General features: G+C 36.1%; 1 long non-coding RNA gene across 4 annotated transcripts in view; it reads left to right on the plus strand.

The window, feature by feature from the left end:
• The window catches only part of LOC105374140 (uncharacterized), a 266,957-nt gene that overhangs the window by 118,209 nt on the left and 130,799 nt on the right, over window positions 1–17,949 (plus strand). For 2 of the 4 annotated variants that reach the window (XR_924558.4, XR_001740943.3), the window contains exon 1: window positions 14,095–14,256. The exons of the other annotated variants lie outside the window; for them this stretch is intronic. This is a non-coding gene — a long non-coding RNA (uncharacterized LOC105374140). Of the gene's footprint in view, window positions 1–14,094; window positions 14,257–17,949 lie in introns of those variants that run through there. 4 annotated transcript variants of the gene reach the window in all.

Here is a 17,949-nt window from a genome sequence, read left to right on the forward strand (position 1 = left end):
TGTAAAGAGCTTCAAAACCAAGCGAGATTTAACTTTGGTTCAAAAGCAGCAGGGAGGTGGTATGGACCTATGAACAAAAATGTGATATAAACAAGACCTTTTGTTTACTGGCCATGTGTAGAATAAATTGGATGAGGAAAACAAAGATTATTTAGCAGCTTTTGACACAATGCATGCTGTGATAGTGCAAGTCTGTACTTAGTTGTCCTGGGGATGAGCTGAGAAAGACCTTAAAAATTAGAAAGAGGCTGGGCTCATACCTGGATTTCTAGCACTTTGGGAGTCTGAGGTGGGAGAATCACTTGAGCCCAGGAATTCAAGGCCAGCCTTGGCAACACAGCGAGACCTTGTCTCTACAGAAAAATAAACAAAAATTAGCTGGGCATAGTGGCACACACCTGTGGTCCCAGCTACTCAGGAAGCTGAGATGGGAGGATCACTTGAGCCCCAGAGGCAGAGGCTGCAGTGAGCCCTGATCACACCACTGCACTCCAGCCTGGGTGACAGAGTGAGATTTTATCTCAAAAAAAAAAAAAAAATTGATGGTATGGATATGACTAGGAAATTTTCAGACAAACTACTGACAGGATTTAGAGACAAATTTTGGAGGGAGATAAGACAACTGGTGTTTATAAGTTGGAAGACAAAGTAATGGTGAAATTCTTATGTAAAGTTGGAAGAAGGGTCTGTGTTTCAGGAAGATCATGGGTTAGGCTTTGAGAATGCTGAGGTAGTAGAAGGACACCCACATGAAAATGTCCTATAGGCACTTGTAGATATTGAAATCAATATAAGTTTAAGGTAAGTTTCTTGCCACTATTCTGATCCCGAACTCAAACTCTAACCTCAACCCTAATTCTTACCATTGTACCAATATCATTCATTAGTGATGACAAGAAACAACTGGCACAAGAAAAAGAAAACAATAGAGAAAGCCTGTCTCTTAAGGCAAAGTAGATTGACTGCATTCTCTCTCTGCTTCTAGGCAGCTCTTTCATTAATGGATTGGATAATTACTACAATTTTGATGAAGGAAGAGTCTTCCTTGTGTCTCCTTTTCAGATATATTGAGTGATATTTCTTCATGTAGCCATGCATTTTGTAGGATCCAGGCATCCCAAATCTTTTAAAACCATAAATTTAAAAAGAGCACAGCTTTCCAGTTTCTGGTTCACTGAGGCCCTAAGTAGAAAAATCCATGTTATATCAAGATTCAAGATTTATTTTCCTTCTCTCTCTCTCTCTCACCCTGTTCCCTCCCTCTCCTTCTCCTTCCCCCTCCTTCCTCTCATGCTTCGTATTAACTGAGATGAGTCAATTGAAAATAAGTGAATAGTTGAATTAGTCAAAATCTAATCAAATGCATCATTACACTGTTCTAAACCTTCAATATATAGATTATTCAGCATATTCCTGAAGAATTCAAGGCAAACTGAGTCTTGAATTTTGTGTTGCCTACAGCAGCATCCAACAACTTTTTTTTTTAATTTTAATTTCATTTTATTTATTTATTTATTTTTGAGACGGAGTTTTGTTCTTGTCTCCCAGGCTGGAGTGCAATGGCACGATCTTGGCTCACTGCAACCTCTGCTTCCTGGGTTCAAGTGATTCTGCTGTCTCAGCCTCCTGAGTAGCTGGGATTACAGGCACCTGTCACCATGCCCAGCTAATTTTTTTTTCTTTGTATTTTTAGTAGAGATGGAGTTTCACCATGTTGGTCAAGCTGGTCTTGAACTCCTGACCTCAGGTGACCAACTCACCTTGGCCTCCCAAAGTGCTGGGATTACAGGTGTGAGCCACCACACCTGGCCCCAACAACTTTTATTTCTTCTTCATAACACAGTTATGTAGAAATACCAAGTTATCTGGTCTTCACCTTCATCCTTTAAAAATAAGTGCTGGGAAATGTGCCTTCATCACTTTTTGGTCTTTTTTTTTTTTTCCTTTTCAATAAATAGTCCATATCACAGATGCCATTTACTAATCATTAAATTTGTTTTGGAATATTGTCTTTGTTTTCTTAAAGCTCAACTCAACTCTGTCAAAGCCTATATGTGCTTTTTGAAGGATAAATATCTCCAGATTCCTGCTAAAGATGCTGCATATTGACGAAAATGTGGTAGGTAGCCTGAAGGCCATTATCCAGAGAATCCTCAAAGGGAATGTAATTAAAAAGGATTAGATGAGGCTGGTTCCTCTCCTGCTTCTAATGGGAAGGCTGTGAACCCCTCATGTTACGTTATTACAGTGGATTCCATCATTTCCCAATGCTACCGACTCCCTCCCGCAGGACACCTGCCCCACAGTCACTAAGCACAATATTTGTATAAATGGAAAAACGGATGCTTCAGTTCACTGATGGTCTCAGCAGAGGAGGGGAGAATGATGTAGCAAACAAGTAAGTCTCCAATTCCATTTCATGGGCAAATGAAATAGTCTCTGTTGTAGTAACTTATAGAGCATCACAGGTAACCTTTCTTTTTCCGAGAGAGAGAGTGAGAGACCAAGATAAAACTTTTATTCCATTTGCTGAACTGGGAAGCACATTGTGTGGTAACTCACTTACTCAGCTACTGCATTTGATTGTACTGACTCTTACTGTTCAGGACTTTAGTATATTATTTCTAGAAAACCATATGCAGAGATTGCTTCTATTTATGAATTCTTGATGGTTTCTGCTTCCTCATATGCTGTATTTCTCCTTCTGATTGATGGCAGTGGAATAATTCCAGGGTGAAAGTGATATAAGGCTAAGAGATCAACATTATTTCCATGGTGAATTGATTACTTTCCTCTGAGTTTATAGTACCTACCAGCATTGCAAATTAATATGGTTGATGCACTTAGTTATTCTGATTGTGTCTTCTATTGAAATGCAGACAGCTTTGACTTTAAATATTGCAGGTTTACAACTCATAATAAGATGGTAGGTCCTGTGAACAAGAAGAGGTATTTGTATCATGTCTGAATAGAAAATGTTTTTGAAATAGTTGTGGGTCACTACCTTGGATACTATATTCTGCAACATGAAATATATGCCTAGCAGCCATCTATTATTCATTAGATAAACATGCATTCAATTTTAACGTCTGACTTTAGGTTCATATGTAGGAGAAATGAACAAATGTGCCAATAACATGGGATAGTTATACATAATGTATATACACGTAACTAACAAATTATATATGCAAATATGTCAAACTACTATGTAGTTTTAATGTGATTTAAAAATTGTTCTTATGCATATGTTATAAATTTAGATGTAATTAAAACTTATAGGTTTGATTTTTTGTTTTTAGATGTGCAGCCTTCCTATTTTTGAAGGTGAGTTACTGAGAGAGGAATCATCAATTGTAAAGGTTTTGATTTTTGGAGGAAATGGGGTTGTTGCTACTTTGCCACTTATAACTTAACATACCTCCATATAAGACTTTAGAACTATGAAGACTTTTGGAGTTACCTCTTTTAACAACCTCAGATTCCAAGCGTGGTAGTGCATTTTGCACTGCTGTAATGGCATACCAGATGCAGAGTAATTTATAAAGAACAGAGGTTTATTTTGCCTCATGGTTCTGTAGACTATACAAGAGGTGTGGTGCCAGCTTCTGCTTCCAGTGAGGCCTCAGAAAGCGTACAATCATGGCAGGCAGAGAAGGGAGAGAAGACATATCATACAGCCAGAGAAAGAGTAGAAGAGATGTCAGGCTCTTATAAACAACGAGCTCTCATGTGAACTAACTGAATGAGAATTCACTCATCAGCAAGGGAATGACACCAGTTCATTCATGAGGGATTTACCCCATGAAACCAAACATCTGCCACTAGGCAGCACCTCCAACATTGGAGATCACATTTCAACATGAGATTTGGATGGGATAAACATCCAAATTATATTTCCAGGTCGCTAAACAGAGGTTCCAAGCATCAAGTGACACACAGCAGGTCAGGCCACTCTTCACTGGCAGTGCTGGCATTCTGACCCAGCTCATTGCTCTTCCTACCTTGTTATGTTTTATAGATGCTTTAACTGCCTGCAAAGTGGAGTCTCAATTTCCATATTCTGTAGCTATTTTTATTATGATTGTCTTCAGGATGTTTCATCCTAAGCTTGATCCCTTCACAAGAACAAAAGAAGATGTCATTATAAATACAAAGTGTCATTGTTGTGGAAAAAAAAAAAACATGTTTGCTTTAGGTTTATGGATATTAGTATGAACAAATGTTTGGTCAAACATATCTTTAATAAATATTGATCATCAAGATTGTGAAAAATAAAATTCTACATTAATCTTGCTGTGCAGTAAAAACCTTTGTTTCCTCAGTTGAATTCGGAGGACACATTCAAGTCAGGATCTGGAAGCTGTCTTGTTAAATGGCTAAAATCCTAGTGCTGCTCTGAGGCATCGTTAATACACATGAGGGTTTGTTAAAAACAAAATTTACTCTGGGTTATTTTTTGTAGGAGTGTGAAGAAATGACCTTCGATTCTTAATATAATTGATGTCACCTGGGTAAATATAATTGTAACAGAAATCCGTGTAGATATATTTAGGTAGAACCCGATCATTGGCAACTTTACTCGTACAGACATTACAGGTTGGAATTTATCACTTTCATATTACTTTGTTTTATGTCAAAAATGTAGAAACTGCTAGATACTATGTGGACATTTAAAAAAATGTTGATTAGCTGCTCTTTAAGTAATTTGCGTAGTCATCCTCCAAAGCTGAAAAGCTTGCTCCATAGCATAGAGCTGGCACCTTGAACACCACATAACACACATTTGAGTAAGTGGCACATTCACTGTTATCCAAAAGTATAAACAGCAGTTATAAATCTGCAATGTGCTTATTATCTGATACATTATTTTGGGTTTACCTTTCAGGATATTATATTTCTCAGGACTGTACAGGAAAGGTCTGGAGAAACTAATTTAACACAGTGAATTACTTAATGGTCAAAAATTAATGTTTGCTGCTTATAGGATTACATATGTTGGTTTTTGTTCTTTTTTGCTGTTCAGTTTTTACTTAACAAGCTACAGAATATCTTCTTATGCAATGAAATATTTGAATTCAAATCATTTTTTTTCTAAAATGTATCTCAAAAAAACAAGATATTTTGTTACAATCTTTGGAAACTGTGTTCCTCGTTTGTCTCTTTCTGATTTTTAGCTTCTTTCTCCTTTTATCTTCTGTGCTCTACTTAACTCAAAGAAGCCGCAGTTTGAAAAGTAAGATGTTATCTATTTGTTCTCATCAGCCATTTCGAGCTAAATATTAGCAAAGGCTACTCTGTCACCTCAGCCATGTCGGTCCTGTGGAATGATGGGACTTCAATCCCTAAATTTCTGCTGCTTCTGTCGTTAGCTTTCAGTAGGTTCAGGGAAACAAAGAAGGAGGGAAGAAGCGCTTTCCATGAGGTCCAGAACTCTGAGCACTTGCCTGCTTTGGACCCAGAGAGTGTATTGCTGGGAGTGCTGCTATCTGGGAGCTAGTGCTCATGGGTGATAACAGCTGCTGCACTTAGCTCTTTCTTGTCTTGGGAGTGATTTGTGTTCCTTGTGTTTCACTGGCCAGAAATGAGCAGAAGCTGTGTACAGAAGCAGCAGCAGAGAGCCCTCCATTTACAGCTCTCCATGTTCTTCTTCATTTCTGCAGTTAAAAGTCTCAGTTAATCAGATTGGAGCTTTCAAAGATGGTACATTATGTCTTCTCCTCATAATCAATTACAACCTCCAGAAAAATGCTCCATATTACTCTGACACTCCTTCTCCAAGAGTGAAAAATATGTATAAAACAGAAACTTTAATAATTATTAACATGAGCACAGTATTTAGAAGCATATGAAGAACTTTACATACTCAAAAAACATTGCAATAGGTATTATGATGGAGGCTAACATAATTGAAGTAATTTTTACCTTCCAAGTTCCACAGCTATAGAACTTGAATCTCTGTATATCTTCTGACTCCAAATTTCTGACCTGATTCCAAGGATTATACTTCTTCCTTTGTGAACTGTAAGTCACGTGTATCGTAAAGTACCTATGTGTTGCGGCTTTTATTAAATTAAATGTCCTTTTTTTGTATAATATTCAAATATTATATTAATGAAAGGGTATCTTATCAAGTTTCATTTTTTTTGTAGCTCTGCATTTTATTTTATTTGACTTTTTGTGTTTGGGGCATTAAAATGTTAACATCTTCTGCAGCATAACCTGTGCCTGGTTTTATAGCTCATATCAACTTTGGTTATCGTCATCTTTCTTGTTGATATGCTGAAATATATAATAAAATCCCATCTGCTTTTATAATTGCTCAAGATATATGCATTATTGGTGTCACTTGGATGAAGTGGAATTCACAAGAAACTGTCCTGATGTACATTATTGCTTTTGGAACTTGCTTTTGATATTTTATGAATACCCAATTCAATCTATCTTCTAGCTTGTATAGTGCTTGTGAATTTAAATATATTATATTTGATAGAAAGCTATATCAATTACATCAAAAACTTTTTTTTTTCACCAAGATGAAACATCAGGGAAGAGAGAAAAACAAAGAAATGTCTGTTCTGGTTTTTTCTTAGTAAATCATGTAAACTCCTCTGTCATTCTTTAGTTTAGGAGATAAGGAGTTAAATGTAAGTAGGAGAAACAGAACTAATGAGGTTTTTCAAATCAAAAGTAACGTTGTTTTGTTAAATCTCTTCTTGTTCCTTTAGTTAAAAAAATAATACATTTAAGGAAGTATTCCTCCATCTCTAGAACGGTAAGTTTGACAGATGTATGACATTTATGATTACTTTCAGGTAACTGAAACTTTTAAAGTCACTTTCTGTTGCTCATTAAATTAGCAGTTCAGAAATTAGAAGGACAGTCACATGTAGAAATGAACACTTTGGAACTGAATTATCACTAGATCTTCTCCTTTTCCTTGGCTGGATTTCTGCTGCAGGCTGATGGTTGGCAATGAGAGACAGAGAAAGATTGTCTCTATGTCAAATTATTTTGTTAAAAGTTTAAAACATGATTCTTATGCAATTATAAAGTCTGCACATTTCAAAACTGCGTGTAACTTATTAATGAGGGAGTCAACAGAATGATAAAGCTGGTTTAACAATATTGAGGAATAGACATGTTCATTTAAGGAAAGAAAGTTGAATTAAGTTTTCTAATTTCCTAAGCAGTTGTTGCCCTTGAATTGAACCATTTCAGGTTATATTTTTTCCTGGACAGAAATCTGTAAGTTAATTTCAAATTCCAGAGTTTGACCCGTAATCAGGAGAGATAGCTAAGTCAAATAAGGATTCATTCCTCCTCAGTAAACATTTTAGATAATGTTCCAGTGTAACACTGACAGGACATGCAGTCATTTTGTGCCCTGTTTTCTAAATTTTTTAGATGGAGTCTCGCTCTTGTTGCCCAGGCTGGAGTGTAGTGGCGCGATCTCGGCTCACTTAAACCTCCGCCTCCCAGGGTCAAGCGATTCTCCTGCCTAAGCCTCCCGAATAGCTGGGATTACAGGTGCCGGCCACCATGCCCGGCTAATTTTTTTTCTGTTTTAAGTAGAGACAGGGTTTTGCCGTGTTGGACAGGCTGGTCTCGAACTCCTAACCTCAGGTGATCCACCCGTCTCGGCCTTCCAAAGTGCTGGGATTACAGGCATAAGCTACCGCGCCCAGCCTCCAGGATTTTTATTTATTCCTCTTCTCCTTCTTTTGCTCTATTTGGTTTCTGACCCTGCAGGCTGAGGGAAAGAAGAGGAGGAAGAAGTTAGGAAATTTTTACTTGATTGGTAGTGTCAAAAGCTGGCATGCTCTCTGTGGACTTGGCAACTGTTCAAAGTTGACTCTTTGAAAGATTATTTTCTGGGTTTCCAGAGGCCCCCACTGCTTAGGTATGGTCACCCTTTCCCTGATGTGAGTGCTGCTTTTTCCTCTCGTTTACTGTTGGCTCCTAAGTTCTAGTGTTTCAGAAGTCTCTTCTACCCAGATTCTCTCTGTTGGAGTTTGAATGCCTTCCCAGATGGTATCTCTCAGGCTAGTTCTTTTCAGCAATTTTAAATACTTCCAAGTTGGATTTCTCTTTCATATGAGCCCACATCTGATCAACAGGAAACTCTTGTGCACTCTTTAACTATTCAAACTCTGGAATGATAGCCCAGGCCCAATACAGAAGCAACTCTCAGTCTCTCCACCACCGAAGCAGTTTTCCAGCCCGTCTCTGGTTAACCGAGCCTCCTAGATGGAAGGCAGGTACTAGTCCACTGGGTCACTTTACTGTAAGGTGTGTTCCCTTTGAATCTCATCCCTTTTGACTTAAAGAGGAGAGAGTCTTCTATCTCCCTTTCTGGATGTAGAAGGTTCCTGTAGAATTTCTTTTACTATGGAAATCTTTCTTAAGAATTCTCCCACAGCATTCGCTCCTGATTCTTTCAGATTCTCAATGTGGATATAAGTAAAACACACTTCTAAACTTATATTTTACTTGGCAATTTCCTTTGAAAATATATTTGTTGGTATGGCATTTTGTCTTGGCCTGTTGTCTAGTTATCCTAATGTCTCAGATGAAACTTCTACTCAATAGCCTGTGATACTGGTTTAAGGCGATGAGGAGGCTATTGGAAATACTACCTTGCAGGCATGCTGTAGTGAAAATTTTCCCAATGATTTTATCTGCTTATTTTTGAAGAACTATCTGCAAAACACAAACAAATGAGGTTGAATGAGGGGATGGGTGTGAGAAATGCAGGAGTGGAGATAAGGCACTGAGACAGGTAGTTGTAGAATATCTTGATCCATCTCCTGATCTCAGATGATATATGAAATTCACCTTTATGCCAACCCTATCCCCCCTTCCACACCCAAACCTTTTGTGTCTTTTCAAATTCCAGGCATTCTTAGCAGTTTGATTTGCTGTCAGAAAATACAGTATTCAGAGGGGAGAATTTGGTGTGCTGCATTATAATAGCCTGTAGATTTCTCTTTCCCTGGCTGATAATTTCCTTGAAGGGAGGAACTGTGTTATGCTCATTATTGTGTCTCCATCCCCTAGCAGCTAGCATGCAGACTGAGATTTCCTCTTGGGCTCCTGTTTCTAGAAAGGGTTTTGTTTGTTCGTTCTTTTTAGAAGAGTCGGGGTGGGAAAGATAGTGGGAAAGAAGAAAACCACATTTACCACTGTTTGTAACAGTCTTTCCTCCTTTGAAGTGGTTCCTCATTCATCTATGCCCTCTGAATGTGTGTGTGGGAGGAAGCTATAAAATTATTTGTAAAAATGTTGACAAATAATTGCATTGCATGAATATGTATGCCCTCATTTTATAAACTGCCTGCCTTAAATTGAAATGTTTTTAAGACTACAATTCCATGTTCATTACATGCCATATTTGTGTTTAGAGTTTATTTTTTCAATTGAATAAAATAACATCAGTTTTCACCAACCTGGGCTTGGGTGGTTTGATTTTCTATTTAGGGGAATTATCCTTCTTTTTAATATTTTCTTTAGTTCCCAATAAGTCTTTTGAAAGTGCCCTCTTCCTTTATTCCTTCATTTTTTGTACTAAACACAAAGAAAACAGCAACCGCTATTTAAAATGTAGACAATGTTATCCCTTGTGGCTATTGCCCTCTCTTCCAGAGATTAGAGTTTGCTGTAGTTCAGCAGCCCAACAGGATTTCCCTGGAAATAGGTTTTCATGTAAAGTATTAACTTATGGCATTATGTATAGCAAAAGAAGGCTCAAAATATTATAAAGAGAGAGAAGCTGCATTATTATTTTTAATAGGATTGGTGGAATAAATGGTCCTTAAAGAGCATACATCTGTTCTACTCAATGCTTTCTTTCTGAATTTACCATGAAATGTATTTTACTGATAAGAGCCAGCATTCTGATCCGTTATTTCTCTGAAAGCCTGGTTAAGAGGGTCTAAATACAAGAACTGCTACATAGTCTTTTGGTACTTTATTGAAAGTAAGAGTTTCCATTCTAAAATTGAAGGAAATAGAACATACATCCCACAAGTATGTTTTTATTGCCTGTCCTCCTCATTTGGATTATTAAATATTTAGCTTTAAATAAACACATTTTATGTAAATTTCTATTTAAACAACATAGCTGCTTGTTTTCTGTAGGATGAACAAATTAAAAACTTCTCTAACAAAACATTATGGAAAAATTAAAATGTGTAAGTGACAAAGTCATTGCAACCCTCAAAAATTGTATTTCTACTTATCTTCTAAACAGGAGATAAATTTGAGTAGAACTGAGTTTGCTACTGAGTATATGTTTCTCCCTGACTCGAACACATGTTTACCAAGGAGGGATTAGGTGTAGTTTTGTACTGGATAAAATTAAATGTTTGGTATCAAGTGGAAGGCCGCTTCCCCATGGGAATCTGAACGTGCTCTTCTGTAAGATGAAAGATGCAACTAGATTCCACCAGCTCTGATCTGTGCATATCAAAGCCTAAGGGCAATGCCAACTGGCTAAAGACAGGTATGCAGCCCTAATCTTGCATTTTGATTCATTTTCATTGCCTACCTATTAGTGTGTCTGAAAATAACAAGCTATCCTGCAACACAGTTGGTAATGATTTCTCTTCATGGACTGAGATAGTATTAGAGAGACCACAGTGAGAAACAGAGACTTCTAACCCACATGTACTCAGTGGCGCTTTCCTTGGACTCCATACATTCGGGTGAAAACTGACATTTTACATGGTTTTAAAGTCTTGACATTAAGTTTTATCTGAGGAGTTCTGAAATAGGGCCTAGTGAACCAGGGAGTATGTTTTAATACTACATGTACAGACTTGAGGCAGTTTGACTTGTGAATCTGCATTTTGAAGGCTGTATATAACTACCTCTCTCTCCCAAGTAATATTCACAGCTGAGAAACTAAATTCTGCAATATTGCATTCAGAGATTTTCTGAGGTTTTTATGCCCATGAAATCAACAATAGAAAATTCAAGAGGGACATCTCTAAATTGGAATACACACTAAAGCAATAAAAAATGTTACTACTTACTCTATGGAGATTGATAAGGAAAAAAAAAAAGAGAAAGAAAGCATTCTAGGTCTGAATTTTACATACACATAGATTCCACCAGCCCTGGTCTGTAACCATGAAAACCTGAAGACATTGTCAATAGGCTAAAGAGGAGTGTGTAGCCTGAGTCTTGCCTTTTGATTCCTTTTTCCTGCCTGCTAGTGTGTCTGAAAATATTGGGCTATCCTGCAACAAAGTTGGTGATGATTACTCTTCATGGAAATGCTCCTGGAATATCTGGGTGAGACAGCCCTAGTGAGACCACTGTACATATGGAGTTGATTTTACATATTTGAAAAAACATTTATAAACCTTACATTTCTAATCTATTTTATCTATTATTGTTGGTAACCAGTTTTGGTATTTTTCTGTGTAAAGTAGGTTTCGAAGAGTGAATCCTCCCACTTACAACATAACTCTAGGAGAAAAGAGTTTAACTTACAATGCTTTAAATTGCAATTATTGCTTATGAAGGAATAACTAAAAAATATGAGGTCATAATAGAAATATAATGGACTAATAAGAAAATAGGACTCGTCATATCTAAAAGGAATTGCAAGGCAATTATAAGTAGATTCTAGAAAAGTTATATATATATATAGACACACACACATACACAAAACACACATAATAAAAGAGGTAAAGATTGTTGACATGAAGAGATCTTCAACATGGATCAATGATAAGGTTATCAAGGATAACACACTGGATACTCTTAGGAAATTGCTCATCCCAGGAGGCAGAGGTTGCAGTGAGCCGAGATCATGCCACTGCACTCCAGCCTGGGCGACACAGTGAGACTCCATCTCAAAAAAAAAAAAAAAAAAAAAAGGTTCAGTAATAATGGCTTGGATTTGATCCCATTTTGGCTTCTCCTATTATTTTTCTATGTGCTCAATTCCCTTGTAGCCATTGAGAAGAGGCTCAGGAAAATTCCACAGCAGTATGGTTGGGAAAGTGCCCAGTAAATAATAGGTTTTGTCATATAGAGGTTCCATGTTTCTCATATATGTTATAATATCTTGACCAGGTAATATACTTTCCTATTTAACTTAATTATGAAAACAGTCATTGTCAAGTTTAGGTCTTTCCTGTACAATTCTAATGAGACAAAACAAAGTAGCATTTTTTCATTTTGTGTTCTGACCTGGTCTTCACCTGAAATTAAATATATATATATATATATATATATATATATATATATATATATATATACACACACACACACATATAAAATGTATATTCTACTTTTAATAGAAATACACAATTCAAAACCACATTTGTTCCTATGAAAATTCTCTACTACTTTAAACTGCCAAGATATCAAGATATTATTTTCTATTTTCCATCCCTTTTTTGAAGCTGTGTCTTTGTAATCCTAATGTCTTAAAAAATAACACACACATGCACACACACACATGTGCACACACACACACACAAATATACATAGACTTTATCCGACAGACATCTGAATTATATGAAACCTGTAGTCTATATAATGAAGTCAAACTTCTTTTGAGCTCGCATTTTTGTGAGCTACACATAACTGACTTTATTAATCATTATTTCTATGGAAATTCTTAATAAGAAAACAATAGGTAGTACTTTTTTTTAATTATCAAATTCCAAATTGTTAACTTTGGGTTTAGTGAGAAATAATTTAGTTCTGCCATCTTACTGACCTTGGAGTGGTGGAATATTTTGGAAGAGAAATATATGTGTCCATCATACCTAATATATATGATAAATTGTGTATATATGCATACATATATAATGTGTATGCTGAAGACATTTCTACGTAGTTTTAATATGTTAAGCTTCTGACTTTATTTGCATATTTTGAGTAGAATATATTTGGGTAAAATTTTGCATTAATTTTGTTTTATTCCTGAAGAAAAAAAAAAACGTTGTAAAGGATATGTTGGATGGTGCCTTAAAATGGGATAATTTGCACTCTGAGTTCCTACAGGAAAAGAAAAAATCTTCATGGAGTTTCTAGGCAGTAACTCTGTTTTGGGATGATATTGTTAAAACATTTTAATAGCTAAGAAATAAAAATATTCAGAAGATGTTAACATTTTAGAAGGTTTTGCTATGGTTTATGTATACTTTCTAATGGGAACGTTATAAATTATTTTGAATAATTTGTTCCAAAGCACTTTATTATATTAAAAAAGAACCTCCATAAAAAGATGTGCTTCTTCTTCTATTTCACTGAAAATAACTTTTTCCTCTTTTGCACTTAAATTCTCAGTTTTATATTGTCATAATGCTTTACTTTGTATTACCTCTTGAAGTGCTTCATGATCATATAATTGGGACTAAATAGAAAGTAAATGCACCTAAGCTGAATGGTTGCTGCTCACCAACTACATAATTATTGTCAGGGAGGTTAAAATGCAGAATGTCTGTCAACTTTAAAAGAAGTACACATGGAGGGCAGTGGTGGGTAAGATGGAAATCACAGCTGGAGGTAATGATTACTCTGAGTGTCTTGCTACAGCAAACATAGCATTTAGAAATTCATGAACATTCCTTTTAAATGTTGAAAACTCTTTGCAAAACAAACCATACATTAACTAAAGCACTGATGACTGCACTGCCTACACACTAAGCCACCCATAATTTTGGGAAAGGTTATTTCTATGCAACTTCAAAAGAAACAACTATGAATCTTTTATTTCAGAAATTGGCTTTGGTGACAAATAAGTTTGAGATACATAATACATATAGTTCTGCTTCTCTGACATTTAATATGCAGTGCCATGCCACATAATTTTCTTGTTTACTTTCTAAACTTAAGGGTAACATATATCCAAGATTATATATCCTTTCCAATATATATCCAATATATAAAAATGTGGTCGTACATTGCTAAATAAGGCACAGTTCATGAGTGATACTTTCTGGAGTCTCTCATTAAACATTAATCGCCCCAGACTCGCTGTTTTTAAATCAATTTGGGTTAGTAAGCCCCTGTTTATGGGAGAATAATTAACCCTCTAGTTTATTCAATAAGGAAGTAGGTTTTCTCACATCCATTCCTGTCCACATGCTCCTCTGCTGTTCTGGCTGCTACATGAGTAGCTTTCACTGTACACTCCATTGTCCCCCGTAACACAGGAAGGCATCCTCCTGAGTTAGCAGTAACTGAAGGATAAAGATGAACAAACCACAATTTCTTTCATTCTCCCAACTCCTGGTAAGTGGTCAATAAATGTTTTTAGATGAATGAATGAATGAATGAGTGAGTACCTTTATTTTTCAAAATGCTACCATGCAATGCTACTGGGCTTCACTAAGAAGTGGTGTGGATTTTTGGCCTTCTCTTCATTTACCAACTCCTTTTCAAGTAAGATCTTAAGACTTCTCTGTCTCAGAAATGAGAATCCATTGCAAATTGCTGTACCCCTTGTAGACACAAAAGCTCTGCAGAATCTTGGAAAACACCGCTTTTGCGTCCTAGAGTGAAGATCGCACCCTGCAGAGAGGTCTGAGCGTAATGGTTGCACTGAGATGATTGCTCTTTTCCTTAGGCTATTAATCATTTGTTTTATTCAAGTTTTATATCAATAAATACCTAAATAATGTCAATGTTTAATTGTTTACAATTCTGATAATGAGAAAGAAAATGAAAGGGAGGTGTAAAGGGAAAATAATTTGTACTGAGTGTGTCTATATCAAGTCACTATTATCCCTGGGAGTCATAGGGGTTATCGTTCCCTTTTCAAGAAAAATAATAAGATTACAGAAAGCAACTTGCATAAGCCCTCAGACTCATGACTCTCAGAGCCAGAATTGGAACCCAGGAGTGTCTAACTCTAAACAGTGTTCTTTCCGTAATACAACATTTCTCTAATGTCTTGAAAAAGTGAGATAAACAATAGTCATTTGGAGCCAAAGGGTAGTTATTGCATAAGACCTGAGTAGGAAACATGGGCATTTTGGATTTCAGCCTTCAAAGAATGAAAATCTTGGGGAAATGAAAGCAGAGAGGTGGTGCTGGCCAGAGAAGATCTTGCAAATTGAGCAGTTATGACTATTTTTCTGGTGTCAGATGATTTTTCACTGAAATCACTTGCAGAAGTCTTTGGAGTATTTTGGCTTCCTGATGTCAAGTTGGAATTGTAAAACTCGGTTATAAAATAACTACCATGGAGTTGTGATGATCAATTGAAATATGTTTGAGAGAGTAATATGAAAACTAAAAGAAACCACCGAAATACTGTTCAGATATACTTGCACTAGTTTGGAAGGCTGCAAATCAAAGTCCATTCAGGTTTAGTCTCTCGTAAGAATATATCTACTATATATTGATATATATCTAATATTTAATATTATATATCTAATTTAATATAATTTAATATTATATATCTAATATCTAATATTATATACATAATATATAACATACAAATGTATGTTAATATATTCTTGCAAGAGACTAAACCTGAATGGACTTTGTACATATATATATATTAGATTTTAGAAATCATCAGAGGTTTTTCCCAAATACTGCTCTAAGGAGACCTGGGATGCAAGTACATGTTATAGGTTGCATGGTCAAACATGTTTGGGAAGCATGGAGTTAAACAGTTTACAGAGAACCTTCAATGTGCCAATGTGCACTGTGAATCTCTCAAGGCTAGGAACCATTGTTTGCCAGAATTCTTTGACCCTGGACCCTTCATGCTTAAAGAATCACTGAAGAGATAAGTGGTTTCCAAAATCAACAGAACTTCATGTCACATATTCAAAACATTAAAATCTCAACTAACAAAGAGCTTATTTTCCCCTAGAAACACATCATGAGCTGATTAATATTTTACTGTATAAATATTGGGCCCCGTTTCACATGTATGTTGGCAAAACTCTTTCCAAACAGTCTTTTGTAATTTGCTGACTTATGATTACAAAATCCGTCTTCCCTTTTGCTGCTCAGAGTTGAGTTCCCACCTCCCTGCTGATTGCAATGCAAATGTTTAAGGTTATACTCACATATGCGAGAAATCCTTATTCTGATATGTTAGGGAACTGGAGAATAGAATCTCCAACTTTCGGATGAAAAATATTACCCTTTTTCTTTCCTCTGTAATAAGGTCTTATAAATGGCAACATCTTTTAAAAATTTCTCACAACGCAGTAGGTTTTTCTATACCAGCACACACGGCTAGCTAGCATCCACAGAACCTACTTTGAGAAATGCCATTCTATTCCAATGATACTACTTTTCAGAGGAGAAAAATAAAATGTAGAATATGTAAGTCATTTTCTCAAAGTAAACACAAGTGACATCTCTGTTGAGGAGTAGCTATCACTTCAGAGGGACCATAAGAACTCCCTTCAATTTGCATACTCTTTTACAAAGCAAAATTAATATTCAAATGATGTAAAGGAGAATATGGTCCTAGTTCTAAAGGATGAAACCATTACTCTGTCAGCCTATACCCAAACTGAAATTTTCCCAAATATGTATTTCTGAGCTGGAAAAAAAAAAGACTTGTCTGGAGGAATCCGGAAAGAAATGTTATTTTATACAGTTCCCCAAAAGTTCTACCACCATATAATACCATGTAAATGAAATTGAAATGAAAAACTAGATTAATTATATATTGAACTAACTCATGAAGGAATGTAAAGTGAGCACCCTCATGGTTTCTGAAGAATGTGTTTGTGGGTCAGCAATACTTACTAGTCCCCATAGGGCCTGCAAGAGTAGGCTCCATTTTGAACACTATGGTTCATTAGTCAGTCTGCTTTCCTTCTTACTGATTGATGGGGTATTGCAATAACAAATACATAGGGAAAGAGTTTAGATTTATTTTTATTGCGTGGATTGAAAACATACAACTTTTTGCATACTGCTAATGCCTTTTTAATTTTCTTGTGACAAAATTATGATATACCACACAAGCTTCACAGTTCTAGGATAATTCACAGCTGAAGATTTACTTTAGGAAACAAAACAGTAGTATGATGAGATGGAGGCTACTGAGAGAGATGGAGTTACTTCACTTAAAAATATTTAGTTGGTTTAAAATTTTTAATATGTAGATATTTCATACAGCAGAATTTTCAGAAAATGATATTTTTATTTATGGGACAATGTTGACCCCACATCTTTCCTCTGCTGCACAGATGAATGGTCAGTCTGCAAGATGCTTCAAAAATAATGAACACATATAAAAGACATATCCTTAAATTCGAACTCGAGCCTGCCCTCCTGTCCTTTTCTTTTATTGGTTGATTATTTATGTCCATTTCATTATCCCAATATCAATTCCCTCTACATCAGAAACTTTGTTTACACTGAGCTCTGAGGAGGATCTACCAGCTCAGTCGACTGCGACTCTGATGCTGTAACATCCAATGACATAGATATAAAATCTCCCACATATTCTCAACCTGACAACTCTAGGAAAGGACATTCTATTGATGTCTTCTGAAGGCAAGGGATAGATCTCTAATTTCAATGCTTACTGCTTGATGCTATGAGAATTTGCCAACCTCTCCACCAGTGTCTCTCCTCAAGTCAGTGGTTTCTCTTTGGTGTGGCCATTCTTTCAGCTGCCCAGAATCACACTGTGGCACCCCATTTTTCACTATTCCCTATCCCTATCCCATTTATCTCATGTGTTTGTTCATTCATCATCCATTTACTGAGGAGTTATTATGTTCTATAGTACTGTTTAAGACTGAGAGATTTTAGAGAGAAAAAGCAAATTTTGATCTTAATGAGTCCTGGCGACTGTCTGTGCTTCAGGTGATCCCATCCACAGTGAAAGTTCATCCAGTCTTGGTTCTGATTACCATAATTCAGCTGTTTGGTTTCCTATGCAGGATGTTAACCCTTTATATAACAATTTTTTTTTGCATAATTCACTACTTCAAGTACAGC

Source organism: Homo sapiens, chromosome 3 (genome assembly GCF_000001405.40).
Source record: "Homo sapiens chromosome 3, GRCh38.p14 Primary Assembly".
Lineage (NCBI taxonomy): Eukaryota > Metazoa > Chordata > Mammalia > Primates > Hominidae > Homo > Homo sapiens.